Below are 18308 nucleotides of genomic sequence, written 5' to 3'. Positions count from 1 at the left end.
TTTGTTTAATCAGATATATCCTACTTCCTTCTCTATACTGCTCTGTTCCTCAGGTACTTGACACATAAAGGCTATATCACCTGGCCTTCCTTGCCCTCTGACTAGTGGGGCCAATGAGAGGCAGCAGGCATATGTATTTGGCCAATAAGAGGCAGCAGGCAGAAATTGAGGTGTGGAAGGAGAGAGTATTTCCATGACACAGAATAAAACACTCCAATCAGCCTCCGGTCCTGAGGTTCACCTGCACCAAGAATTTCTCTGTTAGGGTTACACATAACCTCCTCTAAGATCACTTAAGAATATTCTTCTTAGGAGAATCCCAGCCAAATTTTCTTTCTCTCTCTCTCTCTGCCTCTCTCTCTCTCTCTCTGCCAGTCACTCCCCTTTTGGATTTTTTACTTGTGATTCTGATTTCTGGAGCAACAAATCAAGCCCTCTCAGTGAACACTTAGAGACTACTTAATTTCCCCAGTAAGTTTGAGGTGAAGGGTACTTTCCTTCTGTAAACTTAGCATACTATACAACCTCCATGAAGTGGGGCTTCTCTGGTCTCCAGCCTACCCAGATTCTCCCATGTGTGTACATACTCTCACATGGGTGAATAGTGAGAGTTCATTCCACTGTTTGTGATTACCTTATTTACCAATTCTCTGTGGATGGACAGGTAACTGCCTGTGAGATGATGAGTAGTTGATATCAGTTTTTCTAGGAAGTCAGCCAAGTCTGAGACTAGATAGAGTACCAGTTGAACATCCTGCTACACTAGTTTGAATCTTTACTATCTTTGTATGTAACAAACTTGTCTTACTTAGTCCAATTGGGCTGCTATAACAAAACACCATAAACTGGGTAACATAATAAAAAGAAAGTCTATTGCTCCCAGTTCTGGAGGCTGGGCAGTCCAAGATCAAGATGCCAGCAGATTCAGTTCCTGGAGAGGGCTCACATCCGGGTTTATATAACAGTGCTTCCTCACATGGCAGAAGGGATGAATGAGCTCCTTTGGGCCTATTTTATAAAGGCACTAATCCTATTCATGAGGGCTCCACCCTCATGACCCAATCACCTCCCAAAGGCCCCACCTCCTAATACTATCACCTTAGGATTTCAACATATGAAGTGGAGGGGTGGGGAACAAGCCTTCAGAGCATAGCATAAGCACTACTGGACCCTTCTATGCTACTTGTTTTCTCACTCAATATGATGGTGAGATTTATCCATGTGTAACTATGCATCCTAATTTCTGTCTCTTCAGTTGTGTGGCCATGGGGTATAGGAGGTTGGCTGTTATCGGCCTCTGCTCCTGTGGGTTTTACTCCTTCTTGGCCTACCTGCTGCTCTTTCAGTCTCCATTCCCCACCTTTTCTCCTCCTCGCAGCCACTGTTTGATGCTGGACTGCAGGAAAATAGTCACCGATGCAGGAGTGTCCAGGCAGTGTTCCCACCAACAGTGCACCCAGGAGGCCCTTCTACCTTGTAGTCTCTAACCCCTCCCCATTTCATCCTACAGCCAGCTGCATCCTCTGAAGAGAGGCTGGTGGCTATTTTTTGGCAATATTGAATCAGAGCAGGGACAGAGAAGGCGACAGGGACAGAGAGGAGGGTGAAAAGGACATGGAAGGGTTAAATTTTCTACCTAACACAAATCTGGAAGAAACCTGGCTAAGGGGAGAGACAGTAACAGCGCCTTAGATGTAGGTGGAGGTGGAGAGACAGGAAGAGGCCTTGGGGAGTGCTGGACAGGTTGTGAGGACCCAGAGAATTTGGGAGGAGAGGAAGAGGGCACAGAAGGACTGCTTGCAGGCTTATTTTGCAGCTCACAGGAAAGGACAAGAGAAATGCTTGGAATTTGCAATGGCTTTAATGGTTGACCTTATGTTAATTTCATCTTACTCCTAACTTAAGCTTGCCCATATCCACCATGGCTCTGACCTCTTTGCAATCCCTGTCCCCTCTTCAGCTTGAGCTCTCACTTCTCAGTGACCAATTGCCTACATAATTCTCATTTCACTTGTCTCAGAGCGAATACCTGTATTTCCCAGTCCTTTAGCTTTTTTTTCCTGGAAGCCATGTCACAGTCTTGTTATCCTCTGGTTTAGTTCCACTTCAGTCAAATGAATTCTCTTCAATTGGCTGTGGCCTAAACAGATTTATTTCAGATGGCACAAATAAGTGCACCTGGGGATTCTACTTCTTTGGGGACAATGAGAAGAACAACTGCTTTTAGAAGGATCTGAAAGTATGCTGTTCCCTATATTAAAATGCCTTGTGCTCTAATTTTTTAATATTAAATAGAACCAAAAATCCACAATGCTGTAGTTTCTAAATGGTGCTCTCATGAGCATCAGAATAAAAAGGTATCCTAAACCTCCCACCCAACTCATGGGTTCATTATTCTCAAATATCTTTTCATCTGGGTAAGCAATTAGGTTTTAGAGGAGAACTGGATGGATATCTCTTCAAAATCGTTAGGGAGAGGAGTCTTGCATCCTTGCATGGCCTGGTACTAACCTAAGTACTCCCTTGCTTTGAAAAAAAAAGAAAGATTTATGGTGGAAGAAATCTGATCTGCAGCATGACCTGTATCTCCCCTGTGTCTGAGTGCTCCTGCACAGAATGTTTAGAATGAATAGAATCCCCTGTCCAGTGTAACTCAAGAAAGCCATATCAGCATAAAAACATATCAAACCAAAATAAATGAAAACACAGCTTCTATTTCAATAGCTGAAGCTAGGGAAGAATTTTATTCTAATACTTTTTAAAAAAAATTATTTTCCAAGATTCTGTGTAGGCATGTGCTTGTAAGTCACGTGATTTTTTTTGGCAAAGGCCAGCTCCACCCTGGCATTGCTCGTGTCAGCATCCACAACCACTTTGTCAGATCCACATCATTTCTGTGCCTCCCCAGTTGTCTACCGAGTAAAAAACTCAGCACATTGTTGGGGGACATGTTGGACTTTAAGTATTCATCTGCCTTCCTCCTGATATTTGGTGCAGGTGTGCTGGGACTGACTTCAGAGAGTCCTTTGTCCGTGACTGGTAGACTCCACGTTGCCTCAGAAAGACAGCACAACCAAGAAAGCCTGGTAAAAATGATGAAATCAAGATAACCAAGTGGACCCAGGGGTCTTTTCCTCACTGTCCACTATCACATCCCTATCACATCACCCCCACACACGCACACCCATACCCACACAGACACATACTAACACACTCTGCTACCAGCAGCAGTCATAAGAGATTGCTTTGGGCCATGATCTGATTTAAAATGCCAACGATACTATTTCTTTCATTCTGTCATACACACGGGTCTGTATCTAGAATCTGCTCTGTTTTATTGAGGCAATTTTCATCCCTGTTTTAATTTCTAAATCTATTATGTAGGTTTTCATGTCTTGTAGGCCAAGCTCCCTATCAAGGTTATTCCCATATGTGTTCTTGTCCTTTTAATTGAATAATCAGCTCATTTTGTTTCATGTCAAATTCATATGGAGGTTCATGACTGTGCTTGCACTGAGTTCACAGATTAAAATGGTGGCAGAAATGATATAGTAATTAATTTTTCAATCTAGAAATAATGGTATAATAGTGTCAAACAGGAAACATATAAAAATGTTTCATGAATAATTCTCAGTATTTAAAAAAATCATATTCAGGTATATCTGATGGCCAGTGTGAACTGGATATATTATTCCTATTATTTCATAATTTATTCTTAGAGGAGCATACAATATCTTCTTTTATGTGTTTAGCTTGTGTCTACCTTACATTTTTGTCAAACTGGGTGATTTCCTTGGTTGACAGAGGCAATTTTTCTGAATTCCTATTGTTAATAGATTGTTATATCAATAATGTGAAATAAAAAGCAGCCATTGAAAAAGATGATGGGGTTCTCTATTTAAAGGCATGACAGCACTTTGGGAGGCCGAGACAGGCAGATAGCCTGGGCTCAGGCGTTTGAGAACACCCTGGAAAAAATGGTGAAACCCCATCTCTACTAAAATACAAAAAATTAGCTGGGCATGGTGACATGTGCCTGTAGTCCCAGGTACTCGGGAGGCTGATGCATCACTTGAGCCTAAGAGGCAGCGGTTGCAGTGAGCCAAGATCATACCACTGCACTCCAGCTTGGGCTACAGAGTAAGACTCCGTCTCAATAAATAAATAAATAAATAATTTTTAAAAAGGCATGAAAAATATCTCTAAAAAGTGGTAATTGAAGAAAGAAACTTGCAAAACATTATGCATTTTATCATCCTATTTTTGTTTCTTCATGGAGCCATATATAAAAGTAAATGCAGAAAACAAGGTCTAGAAGAATTTACAGCATAGTGATGATGGAAGTTCTGGTATAGAAATGTAAGTTGGAGGACTGTAAGAAAGGAGTTGGGACTATCAGTTGTATAAGTGTCATTTTTGAGTGTATTTCCACAAAAAAGCATGAGAATATGTGTGCAAGCCAATTCTGTCAGTGGTATTTAAATGAAACAAGATTCTTCAGAGGTACAGATTTGAGACATGGACAGGCAACACTAAGGCAAGTTGACCTACAGTCATTGTCTCACCTATTTCTTCCAAAGGAATTGTTACACAAGGAGCGTGGTCAGAGGGAAGTCATCCAAAACCAAAAACCCACAAAAACATAGACAATGAACCTGTCAATGGAGTTCAAGGAAAGAGAACAGACGTAGCCAGGGAAAATTGTCAACCCTGTCTGTGACTTTAAGAGGTTCTCCTTGCATTGGGAAAGTGAAGAGGTGAAGACATCTATTGTCTAGTCCCTTAGGCTTCCTTGGCATCCTCTGTTTTACCAGTAATACAGTAATGAGAAGAATAACAACACCAGCAATACGAACATTACTCACCCTCCTCAGCTGAGCACTGTCTGCTTGCCAGGCACTTCTCTGAGGGCTTGACATGCAGAAACTCATCTAGCCTCATAACACCTTGAGGTGGGTGCAACTGTCATTCCCATTTATCTAGGGCAGGAGACAGGCACAGGAAAATCATGGAATTGGCACAAGGTCACATAGCTAGTATGTGGCAGTACCAGGATGTGAACCCAATTAGTTTGGGTTCAGAACTAATTTGTTTGGAACACTAAACATGGCCTCAGGGTCTTTACATGGTTCTACCTGGGGTAGAAGAAAACCTGGAGGACTAAGCCTTTCCTGCCACTCAAACAACAGAGTTTGTGACTTGGGTCACAAACGTCCCACTTTCAGGCACTTGTACCTCAATTTCCTCCCTTCTTATGTGAGACTGAGTGGGGAGCCAGTGTGGACAAAAGCCACATCTACTCATAATAGTCATTTTAGTTCCTCAGGGAAACAGCACTATAAAAAACACAAAGCTCTGTCCCCACCATTATCCCTCTGTCAGCCTGGAAAATTCATGTCCTGCCTCTGGACAATACCCATATGGGTCACACTTTAATGGTAACAATATAGTTATTCTAGATCAGAGACTTGGAAGGGAATATGGCTTGAAACATATGGGTACTCTCAGTCAAATTTCTGCAATTAAACACCCCATTTACATGAATTGTGTATTATAAAAGTGATAATTACAGTCATGACCAAAGCTGGGTGTAGAGACTGAGAGAGAAAAGGGAATACTACCTTGTACTGAGTTCTCTTGTAGCTTTCACTGGGTGATTGGATCTTGAAGTCAGAATTGCTGATCATTGCCCAGTGGACCTGTGGAAATGCAATGAATACTGTTAACAGATTTTGGTAACTCCTCCCACAGAAGTTACCAAAATATTTTAACAGTGTTCTTGGCCTGTTAACAGATTTTGCATGAGCCAGGGAATAGCTCTGAGGCCAAGATAACTGAGTGTCTAGGGAACAGATATTACAAAGTAATATCTACCCCCTCTGCCAGCACCTCCCACTTACTCACTGTATTCAGCCCTGAACCAGGAGTAACCCTGGTGGTAGTGGCTAGTGTTTAGTTCTTGTCATTGCAAATGGTAACAGGGTTCTCAGCTGCATTGTGAGTCATCATGACTCCTGTTGGCACTTAACCAATCATGTCCTGGGACTCAGAGAAACAATGTAGGAGAAAGAGAAATTAATTTTTCCTCTCTCTTCTTAACCCTCTCTCCCAGACCAATTGCTACTCCTTTGGGAACTGTGGCTGCTCAGTGGTCTGGGAGATAAAACATCTAGATACAACCAGATAATGTAGCATCTTTACTTGCCATCAACAAACTAATTGAACTCATGAACTCCACCCCTGCTGTATAATGGTAGGGTGGGGACTGTCATTTGTCCAAATTAGTAAAACATCATTACATACAGACATGGCTGAGAACACAGGCTCAAGAGACAGGTGGTCTGATTTTTAATCCAAGCTCTGTGGGATTTTGGGCAAGTCCCTAAACCTCTGTGATCTTCAGGTTCCCCTTTTGTATGGTAAAGATAACAATAGCACCATCATTCTTGGGAATTTCTGAGGATTATATGAGATGATGTGTTCGGAATTGGTGGGTTCTTGGTCTCACTGACTTCAAGAATGAAGCCGCGGACTCTCGCGGTGAGTGTTATAGCTCTTAAGGTGGCGCGTCTGGAGTTTGTTCCTTCTGATGTTCGGATGTGTTCGGAGTCTCTTCCTTCTGGTGGGTTCGTGGTCTCGCGGGCTCAGGAGTGAAGCTGCAGACCTTCGCGGTGAGTGTTACAGCTCTTAAGGCAGCGCATCTGGAGTTGTTCGTTCCTCCCGGTGGGCTCATGGTCTTGCTGGCTTCAGGAGTGAAGCTGCAGATCTTCGCGGTGAGTGTTACAGCTCATAAAAGCAGTGTGGACCCAAAGAGTGAGCAGTAGCAAGATTTATTGCAAAGAGCGGAAGAACAAAGCTTCCGCAGTGTGGAAGGGGACCCAAGTGGGTTGCCCCTGCTGGCTCAGGCAGCCTGCATTTATTCTCTTATCTGGCCCCACCCACATCCTGCTGATTGGTAGAGCCGAGTGGTCTGTTTTGACAGGGCGCTGATTGGTGCGTTTACAATCCCTGAGCTAGACACAAAGGTTCTCCACATCTCCACTAGATTAACTAGATACTGAGTGTCAACACAAAGGTTCTCCAAGGCCCCACCAGAGTAGCTAGATACAGAGTGTCGATTGGTGCACTCACAAACCCTGAGCTAGACACAGGGTGCTGATTGGTGTGTTTACAAACCTTGAGCTAGATACAGAGTACCCATTGGTGTATTTACAATCCCTGAGCTAGACATAAAGGTTCTCCAAGGCCCCACCAGAGCAGCTAGTTACAGAGTGTCGATTCGTGCACTCACAAACCCTGAGCTAGACACAGGGTGCTGATTGGTGTGTTTACAAACCTTGAGCTAGATACAGAATGCCGATTGGTGTATTTACAATCCCTGAGCTAGACATAAAGGTTCTCCAAGGCCCCACCAGAGTAGCTAGATACAGAGTGTCGATTGGTGCATTCACAAACCCTGAGCTAGACACAGGGTGCTGATTGGTGTATTTACAATCCCTGAGCTAGACATAAAGGTTCTCCACGTCCCCACCAGACTCAGGAGCCCAGCTGGTTTCACCCAGTGGATCCTGCACCGGGGCTGCAGGTGGAGCTGCCTGCCAGTCCCACGCGATGCGCTCGCACTCCTCAGCCCTTGGGTGGTCGATGGGACTGGGCGCCGTGGAGCAGGGGGTGGCGCCTCTCAGGGAGGCTCAGGCCGCACAGGAGCCCATGGAGGGGGTGGGAGGCTCAGGCATGGCGGGCTGCAGGTCTCGAGCCCTGCCCTGTGGGAAGGCAGCTAAGGCCGGGTGAGAAATCGAGTGCATCGCCGGTGGGCTGGCGCTGCTGGGGGACCCAGTACACCCTCCACAGCCGCTGGCCCGGGTGCTACGTCCCTCATTGCCCGGGGCCGGCAGGGCCGGCCGGCTGCTCCGAGTGCGGGGCCCGCCAAGCCCATGCCCACCCGGAGCTCAGCTGGCCTGCAAGCCCGCTCGCAGCCCTGGTTCCTGCTCACACCTCTCCCTCCACGCCTCCCTGCAAGCTGAGGGAGCCGGCTCTGGCCTTGGCCAGCCCAGAAAGGGGCTCCCACAGTGCAGCGGTGGGCTGAAGGGCTCCTCAAGTGCCACCAAAGTGGGAGCCCAGGCAGAGGAGGCGCCGAGAGCAAGCGAGGGCTGTGAGGACTGCCAGCGTGCTGTCACCTCTCAATGATATTACTAAAGCACTCAGAACAGTGGCTGGCATGCACTGGCTCTGAGCACTCTCTGCATGCCAGCCACTGTACTGAGTGCTTTAGTAATATCATCTCATTTAATCCTCCTCCCTTAGCATTTATCATGTGGTCACCTCAGCCAACCTCTGATTTAAGCAGTCACCATTGGATATACATTTCCTTGAAAGTGTGTCTCATCAGTAGGGTTGTTTCCCCTGCCTTCTTCCCATTTCCAAAGAAGACATCTTAGAGTAAGGCAAAGCTCATGGTCCTCACAGTAGCAGAAGGGGCAGGGCTCCTGAGTCTTAAGCTGGTCTCTACACCATGGCCGATGGTCAGGTCCTTGGCTATGGAATTGCTTGTTTTCACTCAGGAAAGGACATTCCATTTTTGTCCCTGAGATTTCTGCTAGCATCTGCTGTTGAGAACCTCAGCTGGGCTAACACAGCATGTACCGTATTCTCAGAGACCTAAGACAACTACGCTTGCAGCCATGCATGACCTCAATTCTGGTTCTCCTAATGTTAGAGCGTGGGCATCTGGGCCTGAAGCCCTGCTGCCGGTGATACTAATGGTGCTCAGGTGAGTCATGACCTTAAGTCACTTGCAACACTGTGAGATCCAATAGCCTACCGACACACTGACCTTCAGCCTCTGACTACAGTGTTACTGGTGTCACAGAGGTGTATGTGTCCTGAGGCAAGAAACTATATTTTTATTAGTGCACTAAGAAGCACTGATGTAATGTCCAATTCAAACAAGAGTTAGTATACTAACAGCAGCATCCTCTGTTTTAAAGTATAATTGTATACTGCACATAATTGTTGCAGCATTTATTATTAATTTAACAGGTATCCACACATAATAAGACAATGTCTCTCCATTACTTTGGAAATCAACTTTTTACTAGTTCAAATGTTTTCCACTTTACCTGGCCTGGATTAAGAACATAGTCACTAACATAAGGTAAATGTGTATCCAAGTTCCATTGCTGACACTTATAAATTATTTTTAGATCAATTGGGTTCACTTCTCTAAGCTTCATTTTCTCATCTGTAAACTGGGGTCATAATCATTCCTACTTCAAAGTTTGTCAAGAAAATGTGTCATCAAGTATCTTACCTCCATTTTTCATCTTTTACTGTGACGGATTTTAATCAGTGCCTCGGGTTGCCTGCCCTCCTCTCCCCAGAAAGCCTCGGTATGTGAGTAATAAACCTCTTAAAAACCTTCTTTGGGTGTGCGTGTGTGTGTGTGTGTGTGTGTGTGTGTGTGTGTGCTGCAACAAGTATTGGTACAGTGAGCATGCTTTCTAAACAATGTCCACTATCACAGAGTATCTTTGATCTCTTGGTTTGGCTTCCTCACTGGCTCAGCTGCTGACTGAAAGGATGCACTTTGAGCTGCCTTCTGCTAGAAAGCTTGCTCTTTGAGCTATGTTTCTTTGCTCTGCATTTATTGAATCCTACCAAGCTTCAGTTTAACTAACCTAATATGGAAATTTCAACAGTTAACTTTGGGGATAGAATTATGGGATTGGGGTCATCCTTAAAATGACCCTGGGTAATGTGTCTGGTTCCAAATGTATCTGTGTGTCTCAGATTACATTGAATTCCAGAATAAGCCATGACTGTCACTGGGCTCAGGGGAACGAATCTTACCCTGTGACTACTGTCTGTAAGTCTCAACCAGGCATTGGCCCCATTCTGTAGAACTCAATGGAAAGAATAATGCCCTGTGCAATCTATGTGCCCATGAGGTGGTCACTCATATGGAGGAAGAGCAGTTACCATGTGGCAGGCTGACTTCTTGCTCCTAAAAGCAAAAGCCTCACTAGGACCCTACAAAATGCTTTTGTTGTCACTGCAGCCTATGACTTTGTAACAACAGAACCCCTGATTATGTTATTGGAAAATGCTAATGATATTTTCATGTGCCCTGTTGCACAATCAAGGGGTCCATTCAAACCCGACTTAAGCCCAGGATCCTTAAACCCAGTAAAGCAATCATTGCCATAAGGAAGGCTGCTAACTCTGATAATAATAACTTGAGACTATCTGGAAGAAGAAACCAATAAATATGAGCAGGGTAGGGAAGACCTCCCAAAGTGTATTTAGCATTTCCTTAAAAAACCTGAATACAAGGGTGAAGAAACAAAATTGACCCAATTGGAAGGCAAGCATTTACTAAAATACTATATACAACAGAAAAACAAAAGGGTGCTGATTTGTTTTTATACCTCTGGATTCAGAATTAATTTTAACACCTGCTAAAATACACCAGTTGGTAAACCTTCATGTCCTTAATCAGTACTGGGGTCCAAAGTACAGCTATATCTGGGGATCCCACTACATTTAAACAAAGTACCCCCTATACTCTTAGGGCAGTTATCAAACATAAAATAGAAGATACACAAGTATGCCTTACCTTAAACAACAGAACTGTTACATTGCCTAATTTTCTATGGCCGTAGTCCCCATTGCCCTATCTCATAGTGGGCATGGATACTCAGACTCAAATGAGTAAAAAGTTAAAATTAAGTGTTTGGCACAATCAGCTTGAGTTTTAAAAGGACCCCATAGACCCTGCGCACACTACCTCATCTCCACCAGTTGAAATTATGCAGGCAAATATAAATTAAAACAGGTCCTTTAAGTATTGAAACCCATTATCTGTATCTATATGTCAATATCTATATCTATCCTATCTGTCTATCTATCTGTCTATCTACCTATCTATCTCTCTATAAATACATTTGGAGAGAAAGAGAGAAAGTGGTAATTATCTCCCTTGTATCTCCATTTAACAGCTCAATTTGACCTTTTCTTAAACTTGGAAAAAATAAATGGCACTTCATGGCATATTTCCTCAACTTTGATGTCAAGGTTGAAAGGCCTTGATTAAGGCCTTTGTATTAGTTTTCTGTTGCTGCTCTAACAGATAACCATGAACTTAAGTAGCTTAAAATGACACAAATATATTAACATTGTGAGTGTCAGAATTCTAAAATGGGTTGACAGAATTATGTTCCTTTTGGCAGCTGCGGGGGTCCGTCCTGCAGACCCTGACTCAACAATGGATGAATAAAGTACACTGACACACAGGTATTCTGCTTTGCCGGTCCAGCTGAGTGTCCAGGCCACTTAGTAGCAGCCGAGGTCCTGACCAGCTGGTGAGACTCGCATTTATTCAGCAAAGATTAATTGACAAAGGCTTGAGTCAACACCACTAGAGGGTAATTGACATTGTGGACTTCCCGAGTAGAAAGCAATTAAGCACCTGCAGTAAATCAAAGGTTAGTCTTAGGACCACATGAGTAAACAAGTTAGTTAGATAAACTACTCTACATTCCTTTGTATTTGCACCCTGAGCTCTCTGGCTCCTGCATAGAGACTCTGGCTGCCTTCAGCCAGATCTATTACCGAAGTTATGCAAACTCTCAGGCCTTCCAAGAGCATTTGTGGCTATTATAACTAAAATTTTTCCCACCAGCCTGATTGAACCCCCACAGGTAGCTCTAGGGAAGAATATATTCCCTTGCCTTTTCCAGCTTTTACATACTTCTCACATTCACTGGTTGCTGGTTCCCATCGCGTCAACCTCTGCTTCTGCAGTCACATCTCATTCCCCAAATCTGACACAAAAGCCATTAGACATGAGCTCCTTTATCAACATCCTGACATCTTCCAGCTTTCTCTGCCTACTCTTCTGTAACAATGGAGAGATGTCTAAGCCCTTTCCCAAATCCCTCCACTGTGCACATGGCCTTCATGAAGATTTTGCCTTTATGGGGACTTCACTCCTGCATAAACATCCAACACTAATTGCTTCTCTTCCTACATCAACAATGTTTCCTCTTTCTAATTAATCAAAAGAAACAATTCTGGAATCTATTTAAAAATATAAAATTATATAAATAAACCTTGCTATAATTTGAATGTGTCCCCTCCAAAATTCATGGGTTGGAAACTTAATCCCCAGTACAGCAGTGCTGGGTGGTGTGGCCTTTGGGAGGTGATTAGGTCAAGAGAGTTCCATCTTCATGGATGCATGGATGGATTAATGCTGTTATTAAAAGGGCTTGCAGGAGTGGATTCACCCACTTTCACTTTTCTGCCATATGAGGACACAGTGTTCATCCTCTCTAGCCCTTCTACCTTATACCATGTGAGGATGCAGCAAGAAGGCCCTCACCAGACCAGGTGTCAGTGCCTTGATCTTGGACTTTCCAGCCTCCAGAACTGTGAGAAAATACATTTCTGTTCTTTATAATTACCGAGTCTGTGATAATCTGTTATAGCAGCACAAAATGGACTAAGATAACCCCCCCCAACCTTGCTTCCCCTTAAGTCTCATTTCTTTCCTCTGTAGCAACTTCAAAAACTGACAAGACGAGCATAAAGAGAGATCATTTCCATTTATGGAGATGCAAAAATCCTGAAGAAAAATAACCAAACAAATCCCATAATGCATTGGAAGAATTGTACATCGTAACAAATGGAGATTATTCCCATAAAGTAAGAATAGCATAATTTTAGGAAAATGACCCATATTTTTCTCCATGTTAAGAGCTCACAGGGAAAAAAAGTGAAGATTTTGAGGATGCTAAAACACAGTTGGAAACCATCATTCATCATTTTAAAAAGTTACCTAATATGGATAAACATTTATTTGCCAAAACCATCAAAAATATTTCAAAGCAATTGTCAGTATCATGTATATACAATAAAACAGTAACCAGACAACCAGATAAGGGCTATAAGCAGTTTTTCTTGTATTTCAAGATGCTTACTTTTTTACATTTTAACATTTCTGAGATCAAGAAGATAATGATAAGATATATATACTTTAAATGTATATTATTAAATTAATGGTATGCCTTAAGAATTAAGGATATTCTGCTCTAAAGGCCAATTAGTATGGATTGGGAACATATATTTTATTTTCTAGATTCTAAGATCTTTTTTTTTTTTTTTGAGATGGAGTCTTACTCTGTTGCCCAGGCTGGAGTGAAGTGGCACGATCTTGGCTCACTGCAACTTCTGCCTCCCAGGTTCAAGTGGCTCTCCTGCCTCAGCTTTTCAAGTAGCTGGGATTACAGGTGCATGCCACCATGCCCAGCTAATTTTTGTACTTTTAGTAGAGACAGGGTTTCACCATGTTAGCCAGGCTGGTCTCAAACTCCTGACCTCGTGGCCTGCCTGCCTTGGCCTCCCAAAGTGCTGGGATTACAGGCATGAGCCACCTCACCCAGCCAAGATCCTCTTTTAAGGTTCTGAAATTATATCATTTTTGTTATATATGTCAAAAATCTGACAAATGTCTGTTTGGAAATTGCAAAGATAATTTTTAAAACTAAGAAACAGTAGGTAGAATATTAAAATATTTAGAGAATGCCAAAAAGATTCTCACACTGGCTTATCTATTTTGACTCTCATCCTTCAAAACTAAACACTATGGTATAATGAAAAACACCACTGACTAAGAGACAAAAGTTCTACTTCAGGTTTGACCAAGAATTAACTGTGTGCCCATTACTTCCATTTCAGGTCCTCATGACTTCTGAACTGATCTTTTGCAGAACCATATTGGCCCCCCAACTTTGCCTTATCCTTAGACATTTCAGTAAATTTCCCTAATCACCTCCACAATCATTCAAAATGTATTTGTGGCCTCATGTAATGGCCAAAAAAGACCACTCCTCATAGGAAGATGTTAGATTACCCACTACATTTCTTACCTTTATTACAAAGGAGAGAGTTTCTACCCTGGCCTGGAAGCCTCTATGCCCCTGCTGCCAATATTTTGTCCTCAATGCACCAGATGACATACTTCAGAGCTCTGCTGTGGTACACTTGATAAAGCACATTGCAGAACCACACACTTCTTTGATAATGCTTATATTTGTTGCATGTAATACAAAGTGGGAACTTCTACAACAAAATAATTAATTAGAAGAACATAAGTACTTTACAGAATCCAAGAAACCAAAGCAGCAAGCATGCTTCGCAAGGACAGAAACAAGGGTAGCTCAAGAGAACTCAATAGTAGGTATTCTAAATAATGTTCTCTATACAGAAATGGCAGTAATGAAACTTAGAGGAAAAACACTGAGTTTTGGGGTCTAGTTCCAAACTCCAAATTATCAGGAAAAATACCTGATTGGCTCATCTAGGGTGAGGTGACAAGTATCAAACCAAGTAGCAATGGCCATGGGACTCAGTCACACAGAAAATAGAAGAATGTGTGTACAGTTGGAAGGTCTCAGAGAAAAGGAGTCTGTTGGACAGAATGACCAGTCTGTGACTACTGCCATTTTTCATGACCATATATCAACCCACATTACAGATGTAACTTAGTGAGAGAAAACATCTCCCTGTTTTCCTTCATATATTATGAAATATTTACTTTTTCTAGTATTTTGTCTATCTTACGTCAAAGATTTAAATATCTTTGACCTCCTGTACTAAATACCACGCCACATCAGTTTTAGTTGCCTTTCTTTTTTCCTTAGGCTAGTTTTTTGGTATACCATTTCTAAACCAATGGTAGGAACATTTTAAGGCATCTTTTGTCTGGAATATGTTTTAGCATGTACAGCATGAAAGTTTTATATGTTTATTAATTTTTGTTTATAATTGTTAATGAATATTAATTTTGTTAATGAATATATATTAAACCAATTAATAAACAGTCACAAAGCTGCAAACCGTTTTAATAATTATTAAAGTTTTAATTTTTTAATGGATTTTGGTCATCTAAGTTCCGAAATGAAATACACCAAACTTGTTCTTACTTTGCCAAATTGTCCTACTGTTTCTCAGAATCAACATTTTTAGACATTATGTAGAAACACTCTTTAACCTAGTTGTGTCAGGCTTAGTAGAGAAAGGAAAAGAAAGAAAGTTGGAGCTGGAAGAGGAAAGTTGGTAAATGTGGTCAGTAGTGCATTTTGTGTGACCAGGCAAGTTCTGCAGAACCTCTTCTGAACACCTTCACCTGTGTAAAATCCCAGAGGCATTAGTTAATCTCCAACCACTATGGCAGGATATGCATCTGAGAGCAAAGAGGCAAATGGCAAGCAGAGATCACAAAGGTGCAAGAGCTAGAGTAGTGATAGAACCAGTGCCAGGACGATCTAAATTCCCTTGCATTGTCAATACGCAAAAAAAAAAAAAAAATATATATATATATATATCAAGCCATTGCTCACCTTGGCTCTTAGACACAAGTGAGCATAGGCTACCACACCCAGGGCTAAGGTGAGTGCTGAGGTGTGAGTGGTGTGTGCACTCCCCACCTACCGACTTAGGCTGCTGTCACTGAAGGTGACACTGCACCCAGTAGCAGCTATGCTGTTACTGCCCACCCAAGCATCCTGCCAGTGGTCTGATGATTGCTCTTCCCCTGCCTCTCATAGGCAGCACCTGTACATATCATCAAGAGGCCCAAGGACAAGCCATCCTGGCCAAGCTTTGTCCCTCCTCATCCTACCTTCAGACAGAGCACATAGTCCAGGAGCCAGGGGATTACCAAGCCCAGTCCACTAACATTGGCACCTGAATACTCCTCCCAGGGGCCTGAGGTTGTTCTTACCCACCCAGCTGCCTCTACCACAGGTGACACCTACCTGTGGGCCAGTTTCCAGGCCACTACAGCCACCACTGCCCGTACCAGCATGAACCACTTGGGAAGCAGAGCATCATCCCACCACCACCACTGCCATCACCCTCACCACACTGACTGCCCAGGATCCTGAGAACCCACTCACTTGCCTGATCCATATATGCCTCTACTGGCATCCAAGTAAGCTACCTGGAGGCCCAAGCATTGGCATGCCTGGACCTGCTAACAATGGTGCCAGTGTACGCCACCCTGGGACCCAAGGACAGGCATGCTTAGCCCACTGCTGCCACCAGTGGGGTCCAAAGACTGGCATACTTGGTGTACCAGTCCCCCGCAAAACTGTTTCACAGCCTCCACCAATAACTTCACCATAAGCCAGCAAGGAAACCTTAGATACCACTGACACTGTTTATAGCCAAAGAAATCATACAGAGACTACACTACTTCATGCACCCAGAATAACAGCCAAAGTGCCCTACTCAACCAATACTATAGATAGATCTTCAGGAAAAAGCCCTCCTCTAACAAAGCAAATTCAAAAAATTGAAAGAAGTGACTGATACACCAGATAGGCAAGTATCAATGTAAGGACGCAGGAAACACGAAAAAGCAAGGAAACATGACACCTCCAAAAGGAACAAAATAATTATCCAAAACCAGATTTCAATCAAAAAGAAATTCATTAAATCCTGGAAAAATAATTCAAATTATCAATTCTAAAGAAGTTCAGTGAGATAGAAGAAAATTCTAAAAAATGATAAAAAGAAATCAGGAAAACAATTTAGGACATGAATGAGAAAGAAATATCTATCATTAAAAAAAATTCTGGAACTGAAGACTACATTGAACTGCAAAATGCACTTGAAAAACTCCAACAATAGACTAGATCAAGCAGAAGAAAGAATCTAAGATCTTGAAGAAAGGTTTTTAGAAATAACCTGGACAAAAATAAAAAAGAATGAACAAAGCCTTTGTGATATATGGGACACCATAAAGTAACCAAATATACAAATTATTGGTGTCCCAAAAGGCAAAGAGAGAACAAAAGATTTTGAAAACCTATTTAATGAAATAATAGATGAAAAATTTCCAGGTCTACCAAGAGGTTTGGACATTCACATACAGGAAGCCCAGGGATCCTCAAACATACAATGCAAAAAGATCTTCCCCATGGTACATTATATTTACAATGTCTAAAGTCAATGACAAATAATTCTAAAAAAGCATCTAGTTACCTATAAAGGAACCCTTATGAGACTAACAGCAGATTTCCCCACAGATATATTATAGGCCAGAGAGAATGAAATCATATATTCAACGTGCTAAAAGGAAAAAAAATCTGCTAGCCAAGGATACCATTTTTGGCAAAATTATATTTCATAAATGGAGGAGAAATAAAGTCTTTCCCAGATGAGCAAAAGCTGGGGGAATTCATCATCACTAGACTGCCCCTACAAGAAATGCTCAAGGGAGTCATAAACCTAGAAGCAAAAGGACAACATTTACCACCATGAAAACAAAATGTTAAGTATTAAGCTGAATGGTAATGCAAACATACAGATGAGAAAGAAAAAGTGCTCAACTGATACCACTACAGGTAATTTCCAAACCACAGTGACAAACGATAAGGGAAAAAAAGGAACAGAGATTATACAAAATAACCAGAAAACAATGAATAACATGACAGAACAAAACCTCACATATTAATGGTAACCTTGAATATAAAAGGATTAATTTCTCCACTTAAAAATATGGACTGGGTAAAAGGGTAAAAAAAACATGATCTAACTACGTGCTGCCTATGATAAATGCACTTTACATATAGACATGTATGACTGAAAGTAAAGGGGTGGAAAAGTATATTCCACACTAATGGAAACCAAAAGCCAGCAGGAGTAGCTATGCTTATGTCAGATGAAAGATACTTTAAGCCAAAAATAGTAAAGACAAAGAAAGTCATTATATAATGATAAAGGGATCAAACCAGCAAGAAGAAATACCAATTCTAAATATATATGCAACCAACACTGGAGCACCCAGATTCATAAAGCAAATATTACTAGATCTAAAGATTTAGACTCTAATACAGTAATTATGGAGGACTTCAACACCCACTCTCAGCGTTAGACAGGTCATCTAGACAAAGAAGAAGTGACATTGGATTTAAACTCAACTTTAAGCCAAATGGACCTAACAGACGTTTATAGAACATTTCATCCAACTACTGCAGAATGCACATTCTTTTCATCAGCACATGGAACATTCTCCAGGATAGAGTATATGTTAGGCCACGACCAAAAAAAGGCTCAACAAATTATAAAAATTGGAATCATACCAAGTAACTTCTCAGACCACAATGGAATAAAACTAGAAATCAATATTAAGAGGAACTTTGGAAACAATACAAATTCATGGAAATTAAAGAACATGCTCCTGAACAACCACTGGCTCAATGAAGAAATTAAGATGGAAATCAAAACATTTTTTGAAACAA

At 42.0% G+C, this 18308-nt stretch overlaps 1 protein-coding gene and 1 long non-coding RNA gene across 9 annotated transcripts in view; one reads left to right on the top strand and one right to left on the bottom strand.

The window, feature by feature from the left end:
- ZNF75D (zinc finger protein 75D) overlaps positions 1-18308 on the top strand; it is a 95521-nt gene that overhangs the window by 10653 nt on the left and 66560 nt on the right. The gene's annotated exons all lie outside the window — the stretch shown is intronic.
- LOC105373342 (uncharacterized) lies at positions 2947-6015 on the bottom strand. 3 transcript variants are annotated; one of them, XR_007068342.1, is made up of 4 exons: positions 5901-6015; positions 5622-5699; positions 4866-4979; positions 2947-3083 (listed from the first exon to the last, which is right to left on the bottom strand). It is a non-coding gene; the product is annotated as an uncharacterized LOC105373342 (long non-coding RNA). The 3 variants fall into 3 exon arrangements; XR_007068341.1 differs by having other exon boundaries at positions 5905-6015; XR_007068343.1 differs by lacking the exon at positions 4866-4979 and having other exon boundaries at positions 5905-6015.

The sequence above is a fragment of the Homo sapiens genome, chromosome X (assembly GCF_000001405.40).
Source record: "Homo sapiens chromosome X, GRCh38.p14 Primary Assembly".
NCBI lineage: Eukaryota > Metazoa > Chordata > Mammalia > Primates > Hominidae > Homo > Homo sapiens.
Note: the sequence above shows the minus strand (reverse complement) of the source record. Positions and strands in the feature narration are given on the sequence as shown.